This window comes from Homo sapiens, chromosome 7 (genome assembly GCF_000001405.40).
Source record: "Homo sapiens chromosome 7, GRCh38.p14 Primary Assembly".
Lineage (NCBI taxonomy): Eukaryota > Metazoa > Chordata > Mammalia > Primates > Hominidae > Homo > Homo sapiens.
The window spans coordinates 140640386-140666802 of record NC_000007.14 but is presented as its reverse complement, the minus strand read 5'-3'; the positions used below and the strand labels follow the sequence as shown (position 1 = coordinate 140666802).

General features: G+C 48.7%; 1 protein-coding gene, 1 long non-coding RNA gene and 1 pseudogene across 4 annotated transcripts in view, besides 2 other annotated features; 1 reads left to right on the top strand and 2 right to left on the bottom strand.

Moving 5' to 3' along the window:
- Positions 1–174: 174 nt before the first annotated feature.
- LOC105375535 (uncharacterized) lies at positions 175–25894 on the bottom strand. Its single transcript, XR_928047.3, has 6 exons — positions 25529–25894; positions 18932–19082; positions 14797–14988; positions 14174–14409; positions 10962–11214; positions 175–230 (listed from the first exon to the last, which is right to left on the bottom strand). It is a non-coding gene; the product is annotated as an uncharacterized LOC105375535 (long non-coding RNA).
- Positions 19495–19670: a silencer, noted in NCBI's record as "fragment chr7:140346933-140347108 (GRCh37/hg19 assembly coordinates)". NCBI's record gives its function as "represses an EF-1alpha promoter that drives an FKBP-Casp9 reporter gene in an ReSE screen in K562 erythroleukemia cells {active_cell/tissue: K562}" and the evidence as "EXISTENCE:reporter gene assay evidence [ECO:0000049][PMID:32094911]".
- On the bottom strand, positions 20677–20974 carry RN7SL771P (RNA, 7SL, cytoplasmic 771, pseudogene; annotated as a pseudogene).
- The window catches only part of DENND2A (DENN domain containing 2A), a 123042-nt gene continuing 121967 nt past the window's right edge, over positions 25343–26417 (top strand). For 2 of the 3 annotated variants that reach the window (NM_001318052.2, NM_015689.5), the window contains exon 1: positions 25990–26299. The gene's annotated coding sequence lies outside the window, so the exon portion shown is untranslated. Of the gene's footprint in view, positions 25398–25989; positions 26300–26417 lie in introns of those variants that run through there. The other variant, NM_001318053.2, reaches the window with a different exon arrangement.
- Positions 25800–26094: a silencer, noted in NCBI's record as "tiled region #2153; HepG2 Repressive DNase matched - State 4:PromP". NCBI's record gives its function as "represses a minimal TATA promoter and a strong SV40 promoter by Sharpr-MPRA in HepG2 cells {active_cell/tissue: HepG2}" and the evidence as "EXISTENCE:reporter gene assay evidence [ECO:0000049][PMID:27701403]".

Below are 26417 nucleotides of genomic sequence, written 5' to 3'. Positions count from 1 at the left end.
GCTCTAAGATTTCTAACCACATTTACTTGCTTGATGAGTCCTCAAGCTTCAGCCGTGGGTAGAGTAGTCAGCTTCCGGAGTGACCAGAGCAGGGCAGTCATCTTTAGCAGCAGCTTGGTCTCATCTCAGGATCAACCAGGTTGGGTGATCTGGGTCCTGCTGACTGGTCCACTTGTCCTGAGCTGCCGGTTTTAGCCAACTGTGGTGGATCCAAGGTAAAACACCTGCAACTTTAACAGCAGTGGGAGTGGACAAGATTACAGTATAGGGCCCATCCCATATGGGTCCTAGAGAAGTTGGATTCCACTTTTTAACCCAAACAGAGTCTCCAGGTTTAAAGGGGTGTACTGGGCCTGTCAGCCTTATAGGCATTCTTTCTCGTACCCAGCCATGAACCTCTTGCATGGCTATTTCTAACGCCTGCATTTGCTTTCTTAAAGTTAATTTCTCTAGTTCCCGGAGAGTACCTTTTATTTGACTTATGATTGGGGGAGGCCCACCGAACAAAATTTCACAGGGTGAATACCCAGTTTGTTTGGTGGGGGTGCACCTGACTCGGAGGAGGACCATAGGCAAGACCTGATCCCATCTTAGATGAGTTTCTTGGCAATATTTCTTCAGTAGCTGCTTGAGTGTCCGGTTCATGCGTTCTACTTTTCCTAAACTTTGTGGCCAATAGGCTGTGTGTAACTTCCATTTTAGTTTTAACAGTCTTGCTAGCGGTCTATCAATTTTGTTGATCTTTTCAAAAAACCACCTCCTGGATTCATTGATTTTTTGAAGGGTTTTTTATGTCTCTATCTCCTTCAGTTCTGCTCTGATCTTAGTTATTTCTTGCCTTCTGCTAGCTTTTGAATGTGTTTTTTTCTTTTTTTTAATTATACTTTAAGTTGCTTTTGAATGTGTTTGCTCTTGCTTCTCTAGTTCTTTTAATTGTGATGTTAGGGTGTCAATTTTACATCTTTCCTGCTTTCTCTTGTGGGCATTTAGTTCTATAAATTTCCCTCTACACACTGCTTTAAATGCGTCCCAGAGATTCTGGTATGTTGTGTCTTTGTTCTCGTTGGTTTCAAAGAACATCTTTATTTCTGCCTTCATTTCGTTATGTACCCAGTAGTCAGTCATTCAGGAGCAGGTTGTTCAGTTTCCATGTAGTTGAGCGATTTTGAGTGAGTTTCTTAATCCTGAGTTCTAGTTTGATTGCGCTATGGTCTGAGAGACAGTTTGTTATAATTTCTGTTCTTTTACATTTGCTGAGGAGTGCTTTACTTCCAACTATGTGGTCAATATTGGAGTAGGTGTGGTGTGGTGCTGAAAAGAATGTATATTCTGTTGATTTGGGGTGGAGAGTTCTGTAGATGTCTATTAGGTCTGCTTGGTGCAGAGCTGAGTTCAGTTCCTGGATATCCTTGTTAACTTTCTGTCTCATGGATCTGTCTAATGTTGACAGTGGGGTGTTAAAGTCTCCCATTATTACTGTATGGGAGTCTAAGTCTCTTTGTAGGTCTCTAAGGACTTGCTTTATGAATCTGGGTGCTCCTGTATTGGATGCATATATATTTAGGATAGTTAGCTCTTCTTGTTGAATTGGTCCCTTTACCATTTGTAATGGCCTCCTTTGTCTCTTTTGATCTTTGTTGGTTAAAGTCCATTTTATCAGAGACTAGGATTGCAACCCCTGCCTTTTTTTGTTTTCCATTTGCTTGGTAGATCTTCCTCCATCCCTTTATTTTGAGCCTATGTGTGTCTCTGCACGTGAGATGGGCTTCCTGAATACAGCACACTGATGGGTCTTGACTCTATCCAATTTGCCGGTGTGTGTCTTTTAATTGGAGCATTTAGCCCATTTACATTTAAGGTTAATATTGTTATGTATGAATTTGATCCTGTCATGATGATGTTAGCTGATTATTTTGCTCGTTAGTTGATGCAGTTTCTTCCTTGCATCGATGGTCTTACAATGTCTTTTTTTTTTTAATAGATGCAGAAAAGGCCTTTGACAAAATTCAACAGTCCTTCATGCTAAAAACTCTCAATAAATTAGGTATTGATGGGATGTATCTCAAAATAATGAGAGCTATTTATGACAAACCCACAGCCAACATCATACTGAATGGGCAAAAACTGGAAGCATTCCCTTTGAAAACTGGCACAAGACAGGGATGCCCTCTCTCACCACTTCTATTCAACATAGTGTTGGAAGTTCTGGCCAGGGCAATCAGGCAAAAGAAATAAATAAAGGGTATTCAATTAGGAAAAGAGGAAGTCAAATTGTCCCTGTTTGCAGATGACAGGATTGTATATCTAGAAAACCCCATCGTCTCAACCCAAAATCTCTTTAAGCTCATAAGCAACTTCAATAAAGTCTCAGGATACAAAATCAATGTGCAAAAATCACAAGCATTCTCATACACCAATAACAGACAGACAACCAAATCATGAGTGAACTCCCATTCACAATTGCTTCAAAGAGAATAAAACACCTAGGAATCCAACTTACAAGGGATGTGAAGGACCTCTTCAAGGAGAACTACAAACCACTGCTCAATGAAATAAAAGAGGATACAAACAAATGGAAGAACATTCCATGCTCATGGATAGGAAGACTCAATATCGTGAAAATGGCCATACTGCCCAAGGTAATTTATAGATTCAATGCCATCCCCATCAAGCTACCAATGACTTTCTTCACAGAATTGGAAAAAACTATTTTAAAGTTCATATGGAACCAAAAAAGAGCCCGCATTGCCAAGTCAATCCTAAGCCAAAAGAACAAAGCTGGAGGCATCATGCTACCTGGCTTCAAACTATACTACAAAGACGGGCATCCCTGTCTTGTGCCAGTTTTCAAAGGGAATGCTTCCAGTTTTTGCCCATTCAGTATGATGTTGGCTGTGGGTTTGTCATAAATAGCTCTTATTATTTTGAGATACATCCCATCAATACCTAATTTATTGAGAGTTTTTAGCATGAAGGACTATTGAATTTTGTCAAAGGCCTTTTCTGCATCTATTAAAAAAAAAAAGACATTGTAAGACCATCGATGCAAGGAAGAAACTGCTACAGTAACGAAAACAGCATGGTACTGGAACCAAAACAGAGATACAGACCAATGGAACAGAACAGAGCCCTCAGAAATAATACCACACATCTACAACTATCTGATCTTTGACAAACCTGACAAATACAAGAAATGGGGAAAGGATTCCCTATTCAACAAATGGTGCTGGGAAAACTGGCTAGCCATATGTAGAAAGCTGAAACTGGATCCCTTCCTTACACCTTATACAAAAATTAATTCAAGATGGATTAAAGACTTAAATGTTAGACCTAAAACCACAAAAACCCTAGAAGAAAACCTAGGCAATACATAGGCATGGGCAAGGACATAGGCATGGGCAAGGACTTCATGTCTAAAACAGCAAAAGCAATGGCAAAAAAAGCCAAAATTGACAAATGGGATCTAACTAAACTAAAGAGCTTCTGCACAGCAAAAGAAACTACCATCAGAGTGAACAGGCAAACTACAGAATGGGAGAAAATTTTTGCAATCTATTCATCTGACAAAGGGCTAATATCCAGAATCTACAAAGAATTCAAACAAGTTTACAAGAAAAAAACAAACAACCCCATCAACAAGTGGGCGAAGGATATGAGCAGACACTTCTCAAAAGGAGACATTTATGCAGCCAGCAGACACATGAAAAAATGCTCATCATCACTGGCCATCAGAGAAATGCAAATCAAAACCACAATGAGATACCATCTCACACCAGTTAGAATGGCGATCATTAAAAAGTCAGGAAACAACAGGTGCTGGAGAGGATGTGGAGAAATAGGAACACTTTTACACTGTTGATAGGACTGTAAACTAGTTCAACCATTGTGGAAGTCAGTGTGGCGATTCCTCAGGGATCTAGAACTAGAAATACCATTTGACCCAGCCATCCCATTACTGGGTATATACCCAAAGGACTATAAATCATGCTGCTATAAAGACACATGCACACGTATGTTTATTGCGGCACTATTCACAATAGCAAAGACTTGGAACCAACCCAAATGTCCATCAATGATAGACTGGATTAAGAAAATGTGGCACATATACACCATGGAATACTATGCAGCCATAAGAAATGATGAGTTCATGCCCTTTGTAGGGACATGGATGAAGCTGGAAACCATCATTCTCAGCAAACTATTGCAAGGACAAAAACCAAACACCGCATGTTCTCACTCATAGGTGGGAATTGAACAGTGAGAACACTTGGACACAGGAAGGGGAATATCACACACTGGGGCCTGTTGTGGGGTGGGGGAAGGGGGGAGGGATAGCATTAGGAGATATACCTAATATAAATGACGAGTTAATGGGTGCAGCACACCAACATGGCACATGTATACATATGTAACAAACCTGCAAGTTGTGCACATGTACCCTAGAACTTAAAGTATAATAAATATATACATACATATATATATAAAGAAAAGAAAAGAAAAAAAACAGTCTTGTTAAATCTTGCACTATTTCAGCTACAAATGCCGGCCCATTGTCTGATCCTAAAGTTAGCGGCAGTCCAAACCTGGGTATAATGTCTTTTTTTTTTTTTTTTTTTTTGAGACAGTCTTGCTCTGTAGCCCAGGCTGGAGTGCAGTGGCATGATCTCGGCTCACTGGGGTTCACGCCATTCTCTTGTCTCAGCCTCCTGAGTAGCTGGGACTACAGGCACCCGCCACCACGCCCGGCTAATTTTTTTATATTTTTAGTAGAGGCAGGGTTTCACCGTGTTAGCCAGGATGGTCACTTTGTGATCCGCCCGCCTCAGTCTCCCAAAGTGCTGGGATTACAGGCGTGAGCCACGGTGCCCGGCCGATAATGTCTTTTAACGTGCTTTAGTCACTTCTCGTGCTTTTTTTGTCCTGGTGGGGAAAGCCTCAACCCATCCTGGAAAGGTGCAAATAAGCACTAGCATATACCGATAGCCCCCAGCACGGGGCAGTTCGGTAGTCTGTAAGTAAGTTTTTACAAGGCATGGCTCCTATTTCCTGAATTCCTGGGGGCTGTGTGGGCCCCTGTGGCAGATTGTTCTGAGCACAGGTTAAATATTGTTTACAGACAGCTCAAGTGATGGCAGAGACCCGTGGCACATATAAATGACATTTTAATAACATTTTTAGTGCCCTTTTTTTCATATGAGTTCCTTGATGAATTTGTTTCACAAACTTAGGAGCTAACATCTCCGGAATGGCTGACTTTCCATCGAAGAGTTTTCACCACCCTCCTTTAATGTATTTTCCAGCTTCCTGGGCAAACCAGGCTCTTTCATTTGGAGTATAAGTTGGGTCCTCTTGGAGAGGAGGTTCTGGGAGGAGAGGCATAGCTAAGGCTTTCTCTTTAAAATGTGGCATAATCATTGCTGCCCGCTTTGCCCCTCTGCCTGTCTTTCTGTTTCCTTTGGCTTCTGGCATCCCTGCCTTTTGGTGCCCTCTGCAGTGCATTACAACTACTTTTTCTGGAGCCCATGCAGCCTCTAAGAACTGTAGAATTTTTTTCTTGTACTTTATTTATTTGCCTCCAGCTGTTAAAAGTCCTCTCTTTTTGTATATAGTTCCATGTACATGCAATGTAGTAAAAGCGTATTTAGAATCAGTGTAAATATTGACTATTTTTTTTTGAGACGGAGTTTCACTCTTATCACCCAGACTGGAGTGCAGTGGCAAGATCTCAGCTCACTGCAACCTCCGCCTCCCAGGTTCAAGCGATTCTCCTGCCTCAGCCTCCCAAGTAGCTGGGATTGCAGACACCTGCCATCACGCCCAGCTAATTTTTTGTATTTTTGGTAGAGACGGGTTTTCGCCATGTTGGCCAGGCTGGTCTCGAACTCCTGACCTCGTGATCCGCCCGCCTTGGCCTCCCAAACTGCTGGGATTACATGCGTGAGCTACCGCGCCCTGCCAGTATTGACCTTTTTGTCTTTTGCTAGCAGCAGTGCTCTTGTTGGGGCTATTAATTCTGCCTTTTGAGCTGATGTTCCAGTAGGCAGAGACTGAGCTTCTACTACTGAGTCTAATGTTACCACTGCATACCCGGCATGTTGAACCCCTTCTAGCACAAAACTGCTTCCATCCGTGAAGTACTCGACATCTGGGTCTCTGAGGGGTTGGTCCATAAGATCTTTTCAACTAGAGAATACCTCATCTACTGTTTTGACACAGTCATGGAGGGGAGCTCCTGGTTCCACTGGGAGCAGAGTAGCCGGGTTTAAGCTGTTCACTGTTTCTAAAATACTGTAAGGGTTTTCACATAGAAGCCCTTGGTACTGAGTCATCCTCAGGTTTGACAACCAGTGATGTCTTCTTTGGTCTATCGAAGTTATAACTGAGTGCAGCACCCAGATGCTTAGCTGCTGTACTGAGTGCAGCACCCAGATGGTTAGCTGCTGTCCCAGAGTTAGTTTACTAGCCTCTTGTGCCAACAAGACGGAGGTGGCTAATGTGTTAAAGCAAGCCATCCTAGCACCGCAGAGTCCAGTTGTTTGGATAAATATGCCACTGGGTGATGCCATGATCCTGTAGCTTGAGTCAGAACCCTTATAGCCACTCCCTTTTGTTCATGAACATATAGAAAGGAAGGCTTAGTTACGTCTGGTAGTCCTAAGGCTGGGGACTGGGCCAAAGCTTCCTTGATCTGTTTGAATGCTATTTCCTGATTAGTTTCCCAGAGTAGGGGCTCTTTTTCTCCCCACTTTGTGGCTTCATATAACGGCTTAGCCATCAGTGAAAAATTTGGAATCCAGATGCAGCAGAATCCTGCTGCCCCTAAAAATTCTCTCATTTGACGTCAGGTGGTCGGGGTTGGAAGTGCACAAATGGCTTGCTTCCGCTCATCGCCAAGCCGGCGTTCCCCCTGGCTCACTATGAAACCTAGATATTTAACCTCTTCATGGCAAATTGGTTTTTGTTTTGTTTTGTTTTGTTTTTGAGATGGAGTCTCAATCTGTCGCCCAGGCTGGAGTGCAGTGGTGTGATCTCAGCTCACTGCAACCTCCGCCCTCTGAGTTCAAGCAATTCTCCTCCCTCAGCCTCCTGAGTAGCTGGGATTACAGGCACCTGCCACCACACCTGGCTAATTTTTTGTGTGTTTAGTAGAGATGGGGTTTCACCATGTTGGCCAGGCTGGTCTTGAACTCCTGACCTCGTGATCCACCCACCTCAGCCTCCCAAAGTGCTGGGATTACAGGCGTGAGCCACTGCACCTGGCCAAATTTGAGCTTTCTTTTTAGGTACTTTGCAACCTGCTTTTCATAGGAGATGGAGGAGGTCTTGGGTTCCCTGATAACAGTCCTCTTGGGTTGGGGCCGCCAAAAGAAGGTCATCTACATACTGTAACGAGGCACAGTTATCATTTGGCAGGGTATAGGCCTTGAGGTCTGAGGCCAATGCTTCCCCAAAGATTGTGGGAAAGTTTTTAAACCCTTGCAGGAACCTAGTCCAGGTGAGCTGGGTAGCTTCTTTGTCCCATTGAAATGCAAAGATAGGCTGACTAACTGGTACCATGCAGATATGAAGGAAAGCATCCTTTAAGTCTCAGACTGTAAACCAGGTAGCACTTGCTGAAATGAGTTCCATTAAATTATACAGGTTGGGTACCACTGGATGGATGGTTACTGTGGCCCAGTTTACGGCATGCAAGTCCTGCACTGGTCTATATTCATCAGACCCTGGTCCTGGTAGTGGCTTTTGTACTGGCAAAAGTACAGTATTCCAGGGCAACTGGCATTGGACTAAAATCCCCTGTTTATAGAGCGGCTGTAAGTGTTTACAGATGCCCCATACAGCCTTTTGGGTAACTGGGTACTGATGAACCTGAACAGGATCTGCTCCTGGTTTTAATTCTACTACTACTGGTGCATGATTTACAGCTAACCCAGGTGGGTTGTCCTCAGCCCATACTCCAGTAATTTCTTTAACTAACTGAAATAATAATTTTTCTTCCTCTTGTGTATGAGGTTGCATTGGTGCCTGAAATCTCTTTTTATAAAGTCTCCACTCCTCAGCCTGCAGGACAGTAAAGGTTAACACCATGGCCTTTGGGTGAGTCAGATTTAAAGTTATACCTCCCTGGGGGCCAAAAGTAATCCATGTTTGCAGTTTTTGGAGTGGGTCTCTCCCTAACAAGGGAACTGGACAATTTGGGAAGTATAGTAATTTATGCTGGACTTCTCGTCCTCCTGTAACACAACTCCTTGACCGGCAGAATGGCCTCCTCTCTGAGACTTCAGTAGCCCCTACAATAGTTGTATAGTTTTTAGTGGCCCTATGGGTTGAGTTACTACAGAGTGTTCAGCCCCAGTATCTACCATAAAGTCCATTGAACGGCTTCCAACTTTTAATGTGACCATAGGCTCCTGAAGGCCCAATGAGAAGGAGTGCGGTCTGTCCTAGTCCTCATATCTTTCAGCCCCTGCCAGCCTGATCAGATCAGTATCTGGTTCTGCCAGGGTGTGGCAGCCCCTGGCCGGTGGCCTCTTTGTCTCTCCGCCTTGGCCATTTCCCTCATTGCCTTATGGACATTTATCCTTCCAGTGTCCTTTCTTTTTGCATTGTGCACATTGATCCTTCTCTAACCTTGGTCAGCTCTTGAATCCTTGTCTTGGCCTCTTCCATGTCCATGTCCACGTCCACTTCCTCATCCTCTCACATTGCTAGTGTCTCTCTCTATGAGGGCTGTTGCCAACAGATCGGCTTTCTTTTTAAGCCTCCGATCTGCTTCCTTCTTTGCCTCCTGGTCATGGTTAACATACACTTTGGTGGCTACTTCTTTTTGTTTGTTTGTTTTTTGAGACGGAGTCTCGCTCTGTCGCCCAGACTGGAGTGCAGTGGTGCGATCTCAGCTAACTGCAAGCTCTGCCTCCTAGGTTCACGCCATTCTCCTGCCTCAGCCTCCCGAGTATTTTTAGTAGAGACAGGGTTTCACCGTGTTAGCCAGGATGGTCTCAATCTCCTGACCTTGTGATCTGCCCGCCTCGGCCTCCCAAAGTGCTGGGATTACAGGTGTGATCCCACCTGTAATCCTCCACCCTCCTACTTATAGAAGTAGCCTGGTGGCTACTTCTATAAGCTGGGTGGCATTCATGCCTGCGAAACCTTCCAGTTTCTGAAGGTTTCGCTTTATGTCACCCTGGGCCTGTCCTACAAATGATATATTTACCATACGCTGATTTTCAAGAGCCTCAGGGTCAAATGGGGTGAAAAGCCAGTATATCTCAGAGTCTTTCATAAAACTGGCTAGGGCTCTCATCACTTTCCTGAAGCATCCCTGAGATCTTTTCTTATTGATTGCCCTTTTTCCACCATCTCTTAGCCCTTTCAGAAGTGTCTTCGGTACCTCTGCAAATGCTGAAGCTGGGTCGCATCTTCTGGGTCCCAGTTGGGATCTTGGTCTGGGAACTGGCCCTGAGCGTATGCCTGAGCATTCACTGCATCTGCTGGTGCATGGGCTTCTAGCCAGCGGAGAGTTGCTGGGTTACTCTCCTGCGGTCCTCAGTGTTAAACAGCGTGAGAAGAAGCTGCCTGCAGTCTGGCCAGGTTGGATTGTGTGTCAGAAAGATGGACTGCATCAGATCTACAAGAGCTTGGGGCTTCTCTGTATAGGAGGGAGTATGGTGTTTCCAGTTTAAGAGATTAGTGGTTGAAAAGGGCTCATAGATGAAAATCTGTTGCCCCCCTTGGACTTGGCCTTGGTCATCATAATAAATGGGTCCTCATGTCTCCCTGAGAGGCATTTACATGCTTGAGCACAGCCAGATCTGAGACACCCTGCTCGACTATCTTGATTTCCTTCCCTGGCCTCTCAAGGCTCTGATTCTTCCCTTTGGGGTGAAACTTGGGGTGTGCTAGCTCCTGAATTTGGTTCCTGGGGGGCTGTTGGCCTCAGTAAAGGGGGCCAGGCTGGGACATATGGAGGAGGAATCTCTGTTCCCTCTGGCAGCTCCTGCAAAACTGGCCTTTCTTGTTCCCTCTGGGACTTCCCCTTTAACTCTGTGTCTGTCGGCGAACCTGCTCTTACTTTCACTTCTGGCTCAGCTTGGGCCACAAGTGTTTTGCAATGAGCCACTAAACAGGGCTGGATCCAGGCTGGTCTTGTTTGTACTATATTTAACCATGAGTTAATGTAAGGAAATTGATCTGGATGCCCAGGCTGTCCTCCGACCCCTGTCACCACCCTAAATACACAGCCAATTATTTCCGTCTGTAGTTCCTTCGGTTGGCCATCCAACTCCAAAAGAAGTCCATTCTAGTTCACAGAGAGTTCTCAACCTTTGGGGGGTCAGCTTAACTCCATAATCCCCTGCAAAACCTTTCTTAAAGTTTTGTAACATGCACTCCAATGGAGTGGGTTTTGATGACTTTCCTCCTATTTCCTCCCTTTATGATGCAGCATACCCACTCTTCCTTTTGACTCAGACCAACCAGACCTTCTCCTATTATGGGAGTTTTCAGACACCACTTGGCTTTGGAGAGGTCCTTATTCCCACCACAATTCTGAGCTGTGGGGCAGCTCCTATTAGCCATATGTGGTTCGCCACTAGTCCAGGTTGGCCCCACACTTCGCTTGGAGCACACAGTCCACGCTAAGAGATCTGTGACTCCCCACATCACTCCCCACATTGGTTTCTCCAGGAACCATCTCTCACACACTTTCACACACCTCCCCATTCCCAGTTCCTGTGTTCCTAATTGGGATGGTGAGCCACTCTTGCCGCCTCCAGTTTCCTTTTCCTAACCAACTTAGCGAGCCACTCTCACATCCGGTGTCGGTTGGGATGTGAGTTTCATCCAAATTGGCGAGCTGTTCTTGCTGCCCCTAACCCGTCTGGGTCAGACTACCAGTTACACCCTGGGAAGGCTCCCCTTCTATCCTTATGAGACGGGTCCTGCCTTGGGCCCCAATACCTTACCGCAGTTCCTGAAGCACGCTGTTTCTGGAATTGTCCTGTAGCCCCTCTCAGGTTCTGTTGTGCTGCTGGGTAGGGGTGCTGGGTCACAGGAGAGCTGATTTCACCCCTCTAGGCTGAAGTTCTCCAGGTGGCACCTGGGGTCACAGGTCTCCCCAGGCCCGGGGCTCCAGCCCCATAGGGAAAGGAGACAGTAGATCTGCCGTCTCCACTCCTCCTGGCTGGCTCGCCAAGAAATGTTGCGGGATGCAGGGGACTAGACAAGTATGGGTGAATACAGGAGGATAATTATTTTAAGGTGTGCACCAGCTCAGTGGATTTATTTTTCCTTGAATTTCTGCCTCGATATTACCTAGATAAAGGTCGTCTTGTTTCTCTGACTACTTCATAAGACAAGCAAATTTTCACAAATTTAAAGGATACATTGTGGAAGGTCTGACTGAAAATAAGGCCCTTGTGGGCATCCTAGAAATTTATCTAGAATGGTGGCTCTCAAACTTTAGCATCCATCAGAATTAGTTGGAGCGCTGGCCCCACCCCATTGCTGACTTTTGTAGGTCTGGGGTGAGGCCCAAGAATGTGCATTTCTAACAGTTACTATATGATGCTGATGCTGTTGGTTTGGGGAAAACATTTTGAGAACCATTGACCTTGTAGATAGTGGTAGTGGTGAATATGGTGGTGGTGGTGGTGAAGATGGTGGTGGTGGTGGTCAAGGTAATGGTAGTGGGTGGTAACAGTGGTGGTGGTGATGGCGGTGACAATGGTGATGGTGGTGGTATTGATGTTGGTAATGGGGCGGTGGTTATATTGGTGGTGGTGATGATAATGGTGGTGGTCGTGGTGGTGGTGACAGTGGTAGTGGTGGTGATGGGGATGATAGTGGTGAGTGATGGTGGTGACAGTGATGATAGTGGTGACAGTAATGGTGGTGGCATTGATATTGGTAATGGTAGTGGTATTGTTGATGTTGGTGGTAGTGGTGGTAATAGTGGTAGTGATGGTAACAGTGGCGGTGGTGATGGTGATGATGTGACAGTGATGGTGGTGACAGTGGCAATGGTGGTGGCATTGATATTGGTAATGGTGGTGGTGGTGATGGTGATAATGGTGATGGTGATAGTGGTGGTGGTGGTGACAGTGGTGCTGGTGACGGTGTTGGTGGTGACTGGTGGTGGTGGTGACAAAAGTGGTGGTGATCATAATGATAGTGGTGGTGGTAACGGTGACGGTGATGGTGGCGACCTACAATCTCTGCAGAAATAGGCCCACCATAACCATCACCACCATCATTACCACCACTGTTACCATCCACCACCATCACCACCACCAAATGACTGGTGATGGTGGTGGCAGTGGTGAAAGTGTAGCATTGTAAAGAGCTAGAGTCAGCTCCCACACAGGTGAAGTTGAGAGATTATTACTGAGGCCCATGTCAGTTAGGAGAATTATGTCATACATATGAAGGCAACATGGGCAGTAAAAAACAAAACAAAACAAAACAAAAACAGTTCTATCACATATGAACCCTAAATCAAAGTTTATAAGGGCAACCATTGAAAATCACAGATGCTGGCTTGGAGTCAACCTGCTGCTCACATGGGTAACTTTATGCAATCCGTTTCAGGATTAGTAACAGGAGGGATGGATATATTTAGAATGTTGAATGAATTAAGAGACTGAATACGCAAAGGGACAATGGCCATATATAACTATGCATTTCTATGTCTAGTGTCATATATGGTCATTGACTCTGCATATTCAGAGGCTGTGACCCACAACCTTTGCAGCAACCGGGGCAGGAGCCAAGCCAACCTTCTATGGCGATAGGCCCAGAACGTCAGGATTTGCTCAATGACTGCCTGCTGCCCTAATTCTCACTGACACTTCCAACTCAGGACCAAGCCAAGAAAGCCAAAAATCCTCTCCAAACCCATCACATAAGATGCTGCTGCCTGCACTTTCCCCCTGCCAACATCTTCCAATTAGAGCCCACCTGAAACCTATAGAAGCCTTTCCCACTAGCATTTGAGTCTCCAGTTATATTTGACTCTCTGCCAAAGGCAAGTGATGGTGGCTGACTGTCTGGCCATAGAAAACGCTAAATAAATAGCCTCTGCCTTCCTCATTTGGGTGGCTTTCGTTGATCCGCATTGAATCTTCTCAACAGTGGAAAGCCAGCTAATTTTTAGGTTTCCAGGTGTATGAAATGCTCCTGCTGGTGTTGTTAACTCTATTTCCACTAGGTGGCACCATTCACTCGGGAAGGATAACACACGATTCCTGGAGGTTCCCAGACCCAACCGGGAGGCAAGGGAAGGGGAACTCTGCAAAAGCCCATCTGGCTTTGCTTCTCTTTCCACGTGAACCACATGACCGGGTTTAGCAGCTCGCGTGTAACACTGCTACCCAGCAGATGTGATGCAGGGCAAGTACTAGTTCAAGGGGAAGATGGTGGAGGTGGGGAATGGGCTGGCTCTGGGCTTCCCGGCCTCTGCATTTTAGGCATTCCGGACAAGACAATTCTTCGTTGTGTGTGGAGAGGGAGGCTGTCCTGTGCTTTGGAGGATGTTCGGCAGCATGTCTGGCCTTTACCCACTTGATGCCAGAAACAATCCTTGTCTTAGTCCGTTTGAGCTGCTATATAACAAAATACCATGAACTGTGTGGCTTAGAAACAGCAAATATTTATTGGCCGGGCGCAGTGGCTCACGCCTGTAATCCCAGCACTTTGGGAGGCCGAGGCGGGAGGATCACGAGGTCAGGAAATAGAGACCATCCTGGCTAACACGGTGAAACCCCGTCTCTACTAAAAATACAAAAAATTAGCTGGGCGTGGTGGCGGGCGCCTGTAGTCCCAGCTACTCGGGAGGCTGAGGCAGGAGAATGACGTGAACCCGGGAGGCGGAGCTTGCAGTGAGCCGAGATTGGGCCACCGTACTCCAGCCTGGGTGACAGAGTAAGACTCTGTCTCAAAAAAAAAAAAAAAGAAAAAAGAAAAAAGAAACAGCAAATATTTCTTTCTCACATTCCTGGAGGCTGAAAAGTCCAGGATCCAGGTGCGGCATGGTTGGGTTCTGGGGAGGTCCTGCTTCTGGGCTGCAGACCGCCGCCTTCTCACTGTGTCCGTGGTGGAAAGAGTGGGAGAGGGTGAGAGCTTTCTCTGGGGACTCTTTGATGAGGGCACTAAACCCATTCATGAGGGCTCCACTCACCTTCCATCACTTTGGGCGTTAGGATTTCAACATATGAATTTTGGAGGCGGACACGTTCAGACCATAGCACTTCCCTTTCCCAATTATGACAATAAAATATCTTCAAACATTGCCAAGTGTCAGCCAGGCATGGTGGCCCACATCTGTATTCTCAGCACATTGGGAGACCAAAGTGGGAGGATTGCTTGAGCACAGGAGTTTCAGACCAGCCGGGGCAATATAGCAAGACTCTGTCTCTACGGAAAAAAAAAAAAAAAAACCTGGGCACGGCAATGGGGCACACCCGTAGTTCTAGATACCCAGGAGGCTTAGGTGGAGGGATGGCTTGAGCCCAGGTGTTTGGGGTTGCAGTGAGCTATGATTGTGCCACTGCACTCCAGCCTGGGAGACAGAGTAAGACCTTGTCTCTTAAAAGAAAAAAAAAAAGAAAAATTACCAAATGTCCCCTGGAGAAGCAAAGAAGCAAAGTTGTCCCTGCTTGGGAATCACTAGTCTTAGGTCCTTTCGCACAGTTCTCTGCTGAGACCCTTTCAGCACCCCCTGACCTCCTTACCCCTCTTCCCACCCCACACTCACACTTTCTTCAGAACAGAATATAAGAGAAGGGAACGCCCTGCACTTACCTGCTGCAGCTTCAACGTCTTTGTTCCTCCTGAGCAGGCTCTAAACCAGTGTGTCTCTGGTGGGGACTTGAGCCACCTCCACCAAAAACACCTGGGCGGCTGTGCACCATGGCTCACACACCTGTAATCCTAGAACATTGGGAGGCCAGACAGAGCAGGAAGATCTCTCAAAACTAGGAGTTCAAGATCAGCCTGGGCAACAGAGTGAGACAACATAGTGAGACTCTGTCTCTACAAGCAAACACACACCTGGAGTGCTTGTAAAACTGCACGTTCCTGGGCTGCATCCCAGACCCCTTGCATCAGGATCACTCAGCGAAGGCCAGAATCTGTTCTTTTTTTTCTTCTTTTTTTCCCCCTTAAACTCAATGGGATTATCAGGCAGATAAAAAGTGTGAGAAAGGCCGGGCGTGGTGGCTCATGCCTCCACTGCACTCCAGCCTGGGGTAATCCCAGCACTTTGGGAGGCTGAGGCAGACGGATCATCTGAGGTCAGGAGTTTGAGACCAGTCTGGCCAACATGGTGAAACCCCGTCTCAGCTAAAACTACAAAAAATTACCCGGGCATGGTGATGGGTGCCTGTAATCCTGGCTACTCGGGAGGCTGAGGCAAGAGAATCGCTTGAACCCGGGAGGCGGAGGTTGCAGTGAGCTGAGATTGCACCACTGCTTTCCAGCCTGGGCAATAAGACGGAAACTCTGTCTCAGAAAAAAAAAAAAAGTGTGAGAAGCACTGGCCCTGCCCCTCCCCCCAGGTCCTGCTTGGTATCTCTGACCTGCAATTCCTTCCTAAGAGAGTCAGGCCCTGGCATGTGGATTTTGGCTCTGGGCCACCCATATCTACTCCCCAAGCTGGCAGAGGAGAAAATATCAGAAATAATACTGAAAGGGGCTGGGCGCGGTGGCTCACACCTGTAATCCCAGCACTTTGGGAGGCCGAGGCGGGCAGATCACGAGGTCAGGAGATCGAGACCATCCTGGCTAACACGGTGAAACCCCATCTCTACCAAAAATACAAAAAATTAGCTGGGCGCGGTGGCGGGTGCCTGTAGTCCCAGCTACTCGGGAGGCTGAGGCAGGAGAATGGTGTGAACCCAGGAGGTGGAGCTTGCAGTGAGCCGAGATAGCGCCACTGCACTCCAGCCTGGGAGATGGAGCGAGACTGTGTCTCAAAAAAAAGAAAAGAAAAGAAAAGAAATAATACTGAAAGAAGCAGGGAAAGGAGGAGGCAGTTGTGTGTGTGTGCCCTGCGGCAATGACCCATCCCTTCCCCGTGAGACCACGGCCTCCTCGCTTTCTCTTTTTCACTCTTCAGTTGAATTTTCTCCATTACTCCTTATCACGAGAATCTCTCCTCTAGTTCCTGCCTTCTGGTTTTCTAGGTGGCTTGCTCCAGACACCTTTCTCCCGGTGTCACGTAACTGGACTACTACTACCCACGTGCAGTGCATGTGCTAACCCTGTGTGGCCAAGGCAAGTCTCCCCTCCTTCTGCCTCGAGGGCTTGGGCTGCTCATCTCTGAGGCCACTTCCTGCTCTGACACGGTATGCCCCCACCATGCTGTGTGCAACTCTGTTGCCCCTGGACCCTGTTAACTTCTTTATTTTATTTTATTTTTGAGACGGAGTCTCGCTCTGTCACCCAGGCTGGAGTGCAGTGGTAAAATCTCGGCTCACTGCAACCTCCGCCTCCTGAATTCAAGCGATTCTCCTGTCTCAGTCTCCTGAGTAGCTGGGATTAGAGGCACATGCCACCATACCCAGCTAATTTTTGTATTTTTGGTAGAGATGGGGTTTTGCCATGTTGGCCAGGCTGGTCTCGAACTCCTGATCTCAGGTGATCCACCCTCCTCGGTCTCCCAAAGTGCTGGGATTATAGGAGTGAGCCACTGCACCCCACCAGGCCCTGTTAACTTCTCTGTTCTAAAGCCTGTCCTGGCCACAAAGCTACAGTGGTGCTGTCCTGGGCTCAGACTGCCTGGGCTCATCTCAGCCCCAGTACTCCCTGCCAGTGGCCTTGGGCAAGGCAGCCAACCCCTTTTTGGTTGCTTCTTTATCTCTAGAAGAGGCTAATATTAGAACCTACCTACTAGGTAATCTCTGTAATGCATTAACACTGCCCAGCACATATTCAGGAAAACGTAGAGTGAGAATGAGAAGAGTACTGCTCTTGCGCTTTTTTGCCTACATGAGAAGGCTGGGGCTGGGAGGGACCAGACAGCCCCTGTGATCTCCCCAGGAATCTGACACCCAAAGAGGGAAGTTGACTCACCCAAAGTCACACTCCCAGCGAGAGCAATAGTATATCAGCTGGCTTGCCTTTAGCCAATCTTTTTTATTTTGATTTGAGTTAATCTGAGAGACGTAGGAAGGGGACAGATATTAGAGCTTTCAGAAATATGTTCTCTCAAGCAAGGTGTGGCCTCTGAGAGTCAGTGCAGTGCTGTACAGTCATTTGGAGATCTGAAGGCTGACCTTGGGCCTGGGGTGGATTTTAGTACAAAGAGGGTGATCTGGCAATGAGGACACGGATGTAATGCCTAGCTCATAACCTGGTGTGATTAAAATATTTTCTTCTCAGCCGGGCGCAGTGGTTCACACCTGTAATCCCAACACTTTGGGAGCCCGAGGCGGGTGGATCACGAGGTCAGGAAATCGAGACCATCCTGGCTAACATGGCGAAACCCCGTCTCTACTAAAAATACAAAAATTAGTTGGGCATGGTGGCGCATGCTTGTAGTCCCAGCTACTCGGGAGGCTGAGGCAGGAGAATCGCTTGAACCTGGGAGGCGGAGGTTGCAGTGAGCCAAGATCACACCACTGCACTCCAGCGTGGGCAACAGAGACTACATCTCAGGATGTAGTGGCTCATGCCTGTAATCCCGGCACTTTGGGAGGCTGAGGCAGGCAGATCACCTGAGGTCGGGAGTTCCAGATGAGCCTGACCACATGGAGAAACCTCGTCTCTACTAAAAATACAAAATTAGCCAGATGTGGTGGCGCATGCCTGTAATCCCAGCTACTCGGAAGGGTGAAGCAGGATACGCTCTTGAACCCAGGAGGCGGAGGTTGCAGTGAGCTGAGATCACGCCATTGCACTCCAGCCTGGGCATGCCAAGAGTGAAACTCCGTCTCAAAAAAAAAAAAAAAAAAAAAAAAATATATATATATATATATATATATATATACATACACATATTCTTCTTTTGGCTGGGCGCGGTGGCTGACACCTGTAATCCCAGCACTTTGGTAGGCCAAGGCAGGCAGATCACCTGAGGTCAGGAGATCAAGACCAGCCTGGCCAACATGGTGAAACCTCGTCTCTACTAAAAATACAAAAATTAGCTGGGCGCAGTGGTAGGCACCTGTAATCCCAGCTACTAGGGAGGCTGAGGCAGGAGAATTGCTTGAACCTGGAAGGCAGAGGTTGCAGTGAGCCGAGATCACGCCATTGCACTCCAGCCTGGGTGACAGAGTGAGACTTTGTCTCAAAAAAATAATAATAAAATAAAATATATTTTTTCTTCTTCTTGTTTTTGTTTGTTTTTTGAGACAGGTAAGACAGGGTCCTGTTCTGTTGCCCCGGCTAGAGTGCAGTGGTGAGATCACGGCTCACTGTAGCCTCAACCTCCCTGGTGTGTGCCACCACACCCAGCTAATTTTTTATTTTTTGTAGAAATGGGGGTCTCACTATGTTACCCATGCTGGTCTTGAACCCCCAGCCTCAAGTGATCATGCTGCCTTGGCCTCCTAAAGTGCTGGGATTACAGGCATGAGCCACTGTGTCCAGCATGATTAAAATCTTTAATGAGGGCTGGGCGCAGTGGCTCATACCTGTAATCCCAGCACTTTGGGAGGCTGAGGCAGGCAGATCATGAGGTCAGATCAAGACCATCCTGGCCAACATGGTGAAACCCTGTCTCTACTAAAAATACAAAAATTAGCCAGGCATGGTGGTGCGTGCCTGTAATCCCAGCTACTCAGGAGGCTGAGGCAGGAGAATCCCTTGAACCAGGGAGTCGGAGGTTGTAGTGAGCCGAGATCACGCCACTGCACTCCAGCCCGGTGAGAGAGTGAGACTCTGTTTCAGAAAAAAAAAAAAAAAAAAAAAAAAAATCTTTAATGAAGCGTATTACCTCACTCCTTCTCCTGACTCTGAAGAGATTGCCTCGTTGGGCCAGAAAGTAGGCAGGGAAGTCTCTCAGAAGCAAGAGGTAGGTGCCTTTCATCCTGTGCACAGAAGTCCACACAGAAGAGTTGGATTCACTGGCCTGACTGTCCTGTATTCTGAAATCACAGTGACCACAAAGAGCTACAACAGCTTAAACACAGAAAGCCATGCCTCTAAAAAGTATCCAAATCACCACATTCTTGTTCCTTTTTTTTACTGTTCAAATACATCGTCCAAAAGGAACAGAAAGAATGTAAGTGTAGAGGGTACTTGGTGTGGCAGGCTTCATATTTGAGACTTTGCCTAGTGATGAATGACCTGGAAAGTTCACACCTTTATTCTTTGCTTTTTGTCATAAACACGCCAGTCTTTATGAAGTTACAGACACTTTAATTCTTTGTGTGAAAAAAAGACAGTCCAAAATAAATTAGGGTCATGAAATCAAACAGAAATGATTCTTATCTCAAAATGATATGTTGAGATGCTGTCTGCCAATGCAGAGATTCTCCCGGATTCCCCGTGGTAAGCCAGCAAAGGTCAGCCATCCATGGTAATAAACAAAGACCATCTGCCCCACAGCACCCCTAGTGGGCCTCAACAGCTGCCCATCTTATAGTCCCAGCCAAAGCGGTAGGTGTGAGAGCGTCCCCGGAAGACAGAGGGCACAGAGGCATCTCTGCCAAAGACCAGCCCTTCGCAGCCAGGGAGGATGAAAGAGCCTTAGGGCTTCAGTCTGGGCTCTGCACACTCCTGGGTGGCCTCTGCTCCCCCTCTACCCCTCCCACTCCTATCCCACACCTCCTGGATTGCATCTGATTGGGACCAATAACAAACCAAGCCTGGTTTTGAGGTTTGGGTGGGATGCTTGGCTTGGTTTTGTTTCCTCAGAGAGAGGCAGCCAGGAGGGCCTGCAAGGAACTGGCACCCAGCTGTGTCTAGGTGGGAGAATGGGCTGAGGATGGAGTTAGAGATGGAATGAGAGAGGCAGGGGGGAGGTGGCCTTCTGTGGAGGAAAGGCATCAGGTGCCAGCAAGAGACTAGAAGGGGAGCCCTGACATCTGTAAGCCCTGACTTAGAGCCTCTCTAAGATGGCTCGGTGGGCTCTGAGCCTGCAGGGCTTTGGTCTATGGATGGGAGGGATGTAGGGGAGGCTTGGCCAAGGCTGTGTCAGGGTGAGGCTGTAGACTTTTCCCTGCCCTTAAGAGAAGTTCCTTCCTTGCTCTACCTCATCCAAACTTGTCTAAGCACAGACATGTGATTCTTCTCCCCACACCAGCTCTCCAGATGATCAATCAATCAATAAACCTCTTGTCCATCAATCATCTACTGTGTGTATAGCTTTTTTCTTTTCTTTTTAAATATAATTTAATGATTATGGTTTTTATTTTTTTTTTTTTTGAGACAAGGTCTTGCTCTGTCACACAGGCCAGAGTGCAGTGGCACAATCTCTGCTCACTGCAACCTCTGCCTCCCATGTTCAAGTGATTCGCGTGCCTCAGCCTCCTGAGTAGCTGAGATTATAGGCGTGCGCCACCACGCCTGGCTAATTTTTTGGTATTTTCAGTAGAGACAGGGTTTCACCATGTTGCCAGGCTGGTCTCGAACTTCTGGGCTCAAGTGATTCACCTGCCTCAGTCTCCCAAAGTGCTGAGATTGAGATTACAAGCATGAACCACTGAACCCAGGCTAATTATTTCCAGTTTTTTTCCTACAGATGGATTCTGACTATGTTGCCCAGGCTAGAGTGCAGTGGCTATTCACAGGTACGATCCCACTACAGATTAGCACAGGAGTTTTGACCTGTTCCATTTCTGACCTGGGCTGATTAACCCCTCTTTAGGCAACCTGGTGGTCCCTTGCTCCCAGGAGGTCACCATATTGATGCTGAACTTAGTGCAGACACTGGATTGGCAAAGTGCACCACAACCCAGGACTCCCAAGCTCAAGTGATCCTCCTGCCCCAGCCTCCCATGTGTATACCTTTCACCTATGCACCTATGCAGTGAGCCAAGATCACATCATTGCACTCCAGCCTGGGCAACAAGAGCAAGGCTCCGTCTCAAAAGAAAAAAAGAAGAAACCACGGGAAATGGGAAGTACCGAGGGATATGACAAGGCTAGCCCCACCCATCAAGGCAGGGGACAGAGCCTGAGAAAGAGCCTTCGGACACTCTCTCAAATGTTTTCATTTCCACTGAGATTCCTTTTGGATGTAAATGTTGACAGAGCATCATTTTTGTCCCAGGCACTTTGACCAGTCATGGCATTAGGTCCGCCCTGCAACTCTGAACAACGAAGCATCATTCCTGCCATTTCATGGATGGGAAAACCAAGCCCCAACGGGTTATGTGCTTTATCTGAGGTCCCACAGACCCAGACCTGTCTGGCTCAACCCATGTTCTTTTTGTTACCCCATGAAGCCTGTGAGCATCGGCTCTGCCCAGGGCCAGCTCCTCTGGAGGGAGAGTTCTGGATCAAGAACCAATCCATGTCCTCACTGTGGCTCCCCCCTCTGGAAGGAACAGGCAGTGCAGTTCCTTGGGGCATCCCTGACTCAAACCATCCCCTTGAGATCTGGCTCCCCTGCTTGGGTCACTGGGATCCATTCCTTCTTGGCCTCTTGGCTGGCAGGATCTTTCTTCTGTCTCATCACCACCTGCCTGCCCTCCCAGGTTCAAGTGATTCTCCTGCCTCAGCCTCCCGACTAGCTGGGATTACAGGCACCTGCCACCATGCCTGGCTAATTTTTGTATTGTTAGTAGAGACAGGGTTTCACCACGTTGGCCAGGCTGGTCTCGAACTCATGACCTCAGGTGATCCGCCCGCCTCGGCCTTCCAGTGTGCTGGGATCACAGCCATAAGCCACCGCGTCCGGCCTGGTTTCTTTATTTTAATTTTTATTGGAAGGCAGTCAGAGCCTGGAAGAGAGAGTCTGTTCCATCCAGTGTCGGAGCAAGAGACAGAGCCGCAGGCCCATTGAATGCATTACTCCCTTGGCTTATGGCTGAGATAAAGCCAGCTCTGTTGCCTGTGCGTGCTGGTAGACGATCCTGGACCTAAAAGGGGTGGGGAGGAAGGGGGAGTTGAGCGCTGATGTAGGAGAAGAAAAACTGCCTGCCTCCCATTCTTCAACCTTGACACTCTGTGTTCATGGGGAAAAAAAAAAAGGAGATTAGGAAAATAATAACCAACAGGAGAGTACCCGTGAGTCCTCCCATGGGCCAGGCACCATACCAAACCCTCAAAACAGCGCTCTTAGGAGGCCGCAGCCATTGCCATTTCCACCCTACAGATGAAGGGTTTAAAAAGCTGGGATTTCAAGGCTGAGCAACCTGCTGCAGAGCTGAATGTGCCCCTCCAATCAAGGCCTGCGCTCCTCAGCAGGACGCTGGAGGAAAAGGAGGGAGAGGAAGGAAGAAATGTACTGCAGTGTTCCAGGGCTGCTCTGTGTGGAAGAAACAGGGTTACTATTCAGGAGGCTGAGGTGGGGAGTTCAAGGCCAGCCTAGGCAACATAGCAAGACCTTGTCTCAATATAAATTAATTGAAATAAATGTTAAAATAAAATAAAAAAGACTGGGCACGGTGGCTCATGCTTGTAATCCCAGCACTTTGGGAGGCCAAGGTGAGGGGATCACCTGAGGTCGGGAGTTTGAGACCAGCCTGGTCAACATGGCGAAACCCCATCTCTACTAAAAATACAAAAATTAGCCGGGTGTGGTGGCGCATGCCTGTAATACCAGCTACTTGGGAGGCTGAGGCAGGAGAATCACTTGAACCCAGGAGGCGGAGGTTGTGGTGAGCCGAGATTGCACCACTGCACTCCAGCCTGGGCGACAGAGCAAGACTCTGTCTCAAAAAATAAAAATTAATTAAAATAAAATAAAATGAAATAAAATAAAATATAAAGAAGCAAGATTAAAGACTCAAAAGAGAAATCAACTTTGTCCCTTTCCTCTCACTTTCACTTTTCCCAGCTTGAGGCCAGGCATGACCTCCTACCCGAAGCATTTTCCAACATGAAGAGAAGCTATGGACAGAGAAGGAGGACAGGGGACGAATATACTGTTGGAGTTGTCAGCGCCAGGAACAGGAGAAGAGGGGATGACGGAGAGGCCCTTCCAGGCTCCAACGTGTAGCACCAGCCTTGGAGGGCTATCGTGGGCTACCCTGTCTCCCTCCTCCAGGGAGCCAGCATGGGGGGGCCACAAGGTGAAGGAGGGAGGGGTCCCTATGTGGGACCCCTGTCATGGGCAGAGCCACAGGATGACCCAGCAATGGGAGCAGCCAGCTCTGAGAAGTTGGAGGGCTGGGGGCTGTGAGAGGCAGGCAAGGTTAGAAATCCACAAAGCACAGGCTGTACACAGTTCATCAGACTCAGACCCAAGGAACTAAGGCAGGAGTTATTTTCCTAAAACAGATTAGTGTCCAGAAGTCAAAGATGAGGGAGTGGAAGGCCAGGCATAGTGGCTCACACCTATACAATATAATCTCAGCACTTTGGGAGGCTGAGGTGGGAGGATCACTGGAGGTCAAGAGTTTGAGATCAGCCTGGCCAACATGGTGAAACCCTGTCTCTACTAAAAATACAAAAATTAGCTGGGCATGGTGGCAGATGCCTGTAATCCCAGCTACATGGGAGGCTGAGGCAGGAGAATCACTCAAACTCAGGAGGCTGAGGCTTCAGTGACCCAAGACCATGCCACTGTACTCCAGCCTAGGTGACAGAGTGAGAATCTGTCTCAAAAAAAAAAAAAAAAAAAAATTAGGCCAGGTGCGGTGGCTCACACCTGTAATCCGAGCACTTTGGGAGGCCAAGGCGGGTGGATCATGAGGTCAGGAGTTTTTAAGACTAGCCTGGCCAAGATGGTGAAACCCTGTCACTACTAAAAATACAAAAAAATTAGCCGAGCGTGGCGCGGTGGCAGGCGCCTGTAATCCCAGCTACTCAGGAGGCTTAGGCAAAAGAATCGCTTGAACCCAGGAGGCAAAGGTTGCAAGCCAAGATTGCACCAGTTTGCTTTCTTATATGTTGTAGCAGCCCTGGGAATAATTAACCCTCAAGAAGCCAAGTCTTGGCCAGGCGTGGTGGCTCACATCTATAATCCCAACACTTTGGGAGGCCAAGTCAGGAGGATCACTTGAGGCCAGGAGTTCAAGATTAGCCTGGGCAACATAGCAAGACCTACAAAAAATAAAAAAGCCGACCATGATAGCATACATCTGTAGTCCTAGCTAATTGGGAGGCTGAGGTGGGGAAATTGCTTGAGCCCAGGAGTTCGAGGCTGAAGTGAGCTATGATAGCAACACTGCACTCCACCGCGGGTGAGAGACTGAGACTGCCTCAATCAATCAATCAATAAAAAAGAAGCCAAGCCTGGGAGGCTGAGGCAGGTGAATGGCGTGAACCCAGGAGGCGGAGCTTGCAGTGAGCCGAAATCGCTCCACTGCACTCCAGCCTGGGCGACAGAGCGAGACTCCGTCTCAAAAAAAAAAAAAAAAAAAAGCCAAGCCTCTGATCTTTATTTAGAAAGTGAAAAACTTACTGAATAATGCTTCAACAAACAAAACAATAATTTAAATGCTTACACTTTAAAAAAAAAGCTTGCACTTTGCAAATGTGGGCTCTAAAAGTTGACTATGCTTAGTTAAAATGGGTATGTCATGAGGAGTTTAAGGAACTTAAGCCCTAGAAAAGCTTCAAAGAGTTCCCAGAAAGCATAAAACCCTCAGCTGAGAAGAAAACAGAGATTTTTTTCCTGTGACTTTGAACAAGTCCCTCAAATCTCAAGCTCCCAGTCTATAGGCACTGCCTGGGCAGTATTACGTCATTACACCCATCTTTTATTTTTCACTGTCTCCCTCCTGCCTTTCTCTCGCGCGCACACTCCTTCTGTGGATTTGTGAGGCTAAGCCTCTCTTCTCTCTTCCCCCTTGCTTGAACTTTAGGCCTCTTTGCTGTCCCGCAGGACCATGGCTCCCAGCCCTTCTGAGCTAAAGATGAGGATGACCTTCCTCTGGTGTGGAGATGGACCTGAAGCCTGCTCCCACCGCGCGCAAATCACCCCGCCAGACCCCCCTCACTCTCATCAGGGCATTCCTCTGCTCAAAAACTTTCCGTCCCCCGCTTGAAATCTGGCTAAGCCTACCCATCAGACCTGATTCACCACTTGGTCCTCACTCGGCTGTTTCTGAAATGCCTAGCCTCTGCTTCCGGCCTCCACTGGTGCTGTTCCCTTCACTCAGAACCCTTTCCTTTCACCCACTTTCCTCCACCTATGCAAATGCTATTCAATGTTCCCGGCCCGGTCAAAGCTCCAGGGAACTTCCTCGAAGGCCCCAGCCTGTATTCCAGACCCGCCTTCCCCGCAGCCCACGGCATTTCCCTGCGGACTTCTGCTGTGCAGCCTGTGTTCCTTGACGGTGTCCTGCGTGAGTGGGGGCAGCGGGTCTATGAAGTCACTTCTCCTCTTGGAAGCTTTTCCTGACCACCTCCCTTCCCGCCCGGTCTGGGAGCCCTTCTGCAGCGCGCTCGGCCCTGGGCCCTCCCCGGCCCCCATCACCTGCATCGCCGGTCTCATGACTGTCATTACCCCGGCCCGACGGCAAGCTGCCTGGGGCAAGGGTGGTGCCTGACTCACTGCCCGAGGTGCCCCCGGCCCCGGCCCGGTGCCGAGAGTGTGTTAACTGCCTAGAGTAAGCGGGGCCGGGCACGCGGCCGCCGTTCCCCAGGCTTGGACGTCCAGGTCTAAGCCTCAGGCCGGAAGCACCTCGCGAATCCGCCCGGGCCTGGGTGGAATGGAGCCCGCGCGCGGCGGGCGTCCTCCCAGGAAGGGTTAAGCCACCTCTCCCCCACCCCGAGAGGCGAGGGGGCGAGTCCGGCAGAAGGTCCTGTTTACCGCAGCTCCGCGCGGGGCCGGGCCCTGGGAGAGGGGTTGCCGTGGCAACCGGCCGGGCGCCCGCCAGCTGCGGATTAGCTCACTGGGCCGGGCGGGATGGGTCGGGAGGAGGGGGCGCGCGTCGCGCAGATCGTCGCGGAGCCACGGCAGGAGGAGGCAGGGGCCGCGGGCGAGCCTGCGCTGGGCCGGCCGAGGGAAGCGCGCCGCTGGGGCCGGGGGCGGCGGGGACCCCACGGGAGCGCGCGCGGCGGGGACCCCCAGGGGCTTGCGGGCGGCCGGGGGAGGCTCGGCGGACAAAGGGGCGGAGGGCGGAGGGCCATGGCGTCCCCGGCACCCGCCGCCGCCCGCCCCCGAGCCGCGCCGCCAGCCGTCCCGGCCCGCCCCGGAGCCCCCAAGATGCGCCCCAGAGCCCGCGGAGCCGCCGCCCGCGGGGAGGTAGGGCCGGGCCGGGCCAGGGGGTGCAGGGTCGAGCTGGGGAGGGAAAGGGGACGGAGGAGGGGACGCGCGGGGGAGGGAGGAAACGGCTCGCGCGGCCTGAGCCCTGACGGGGGAA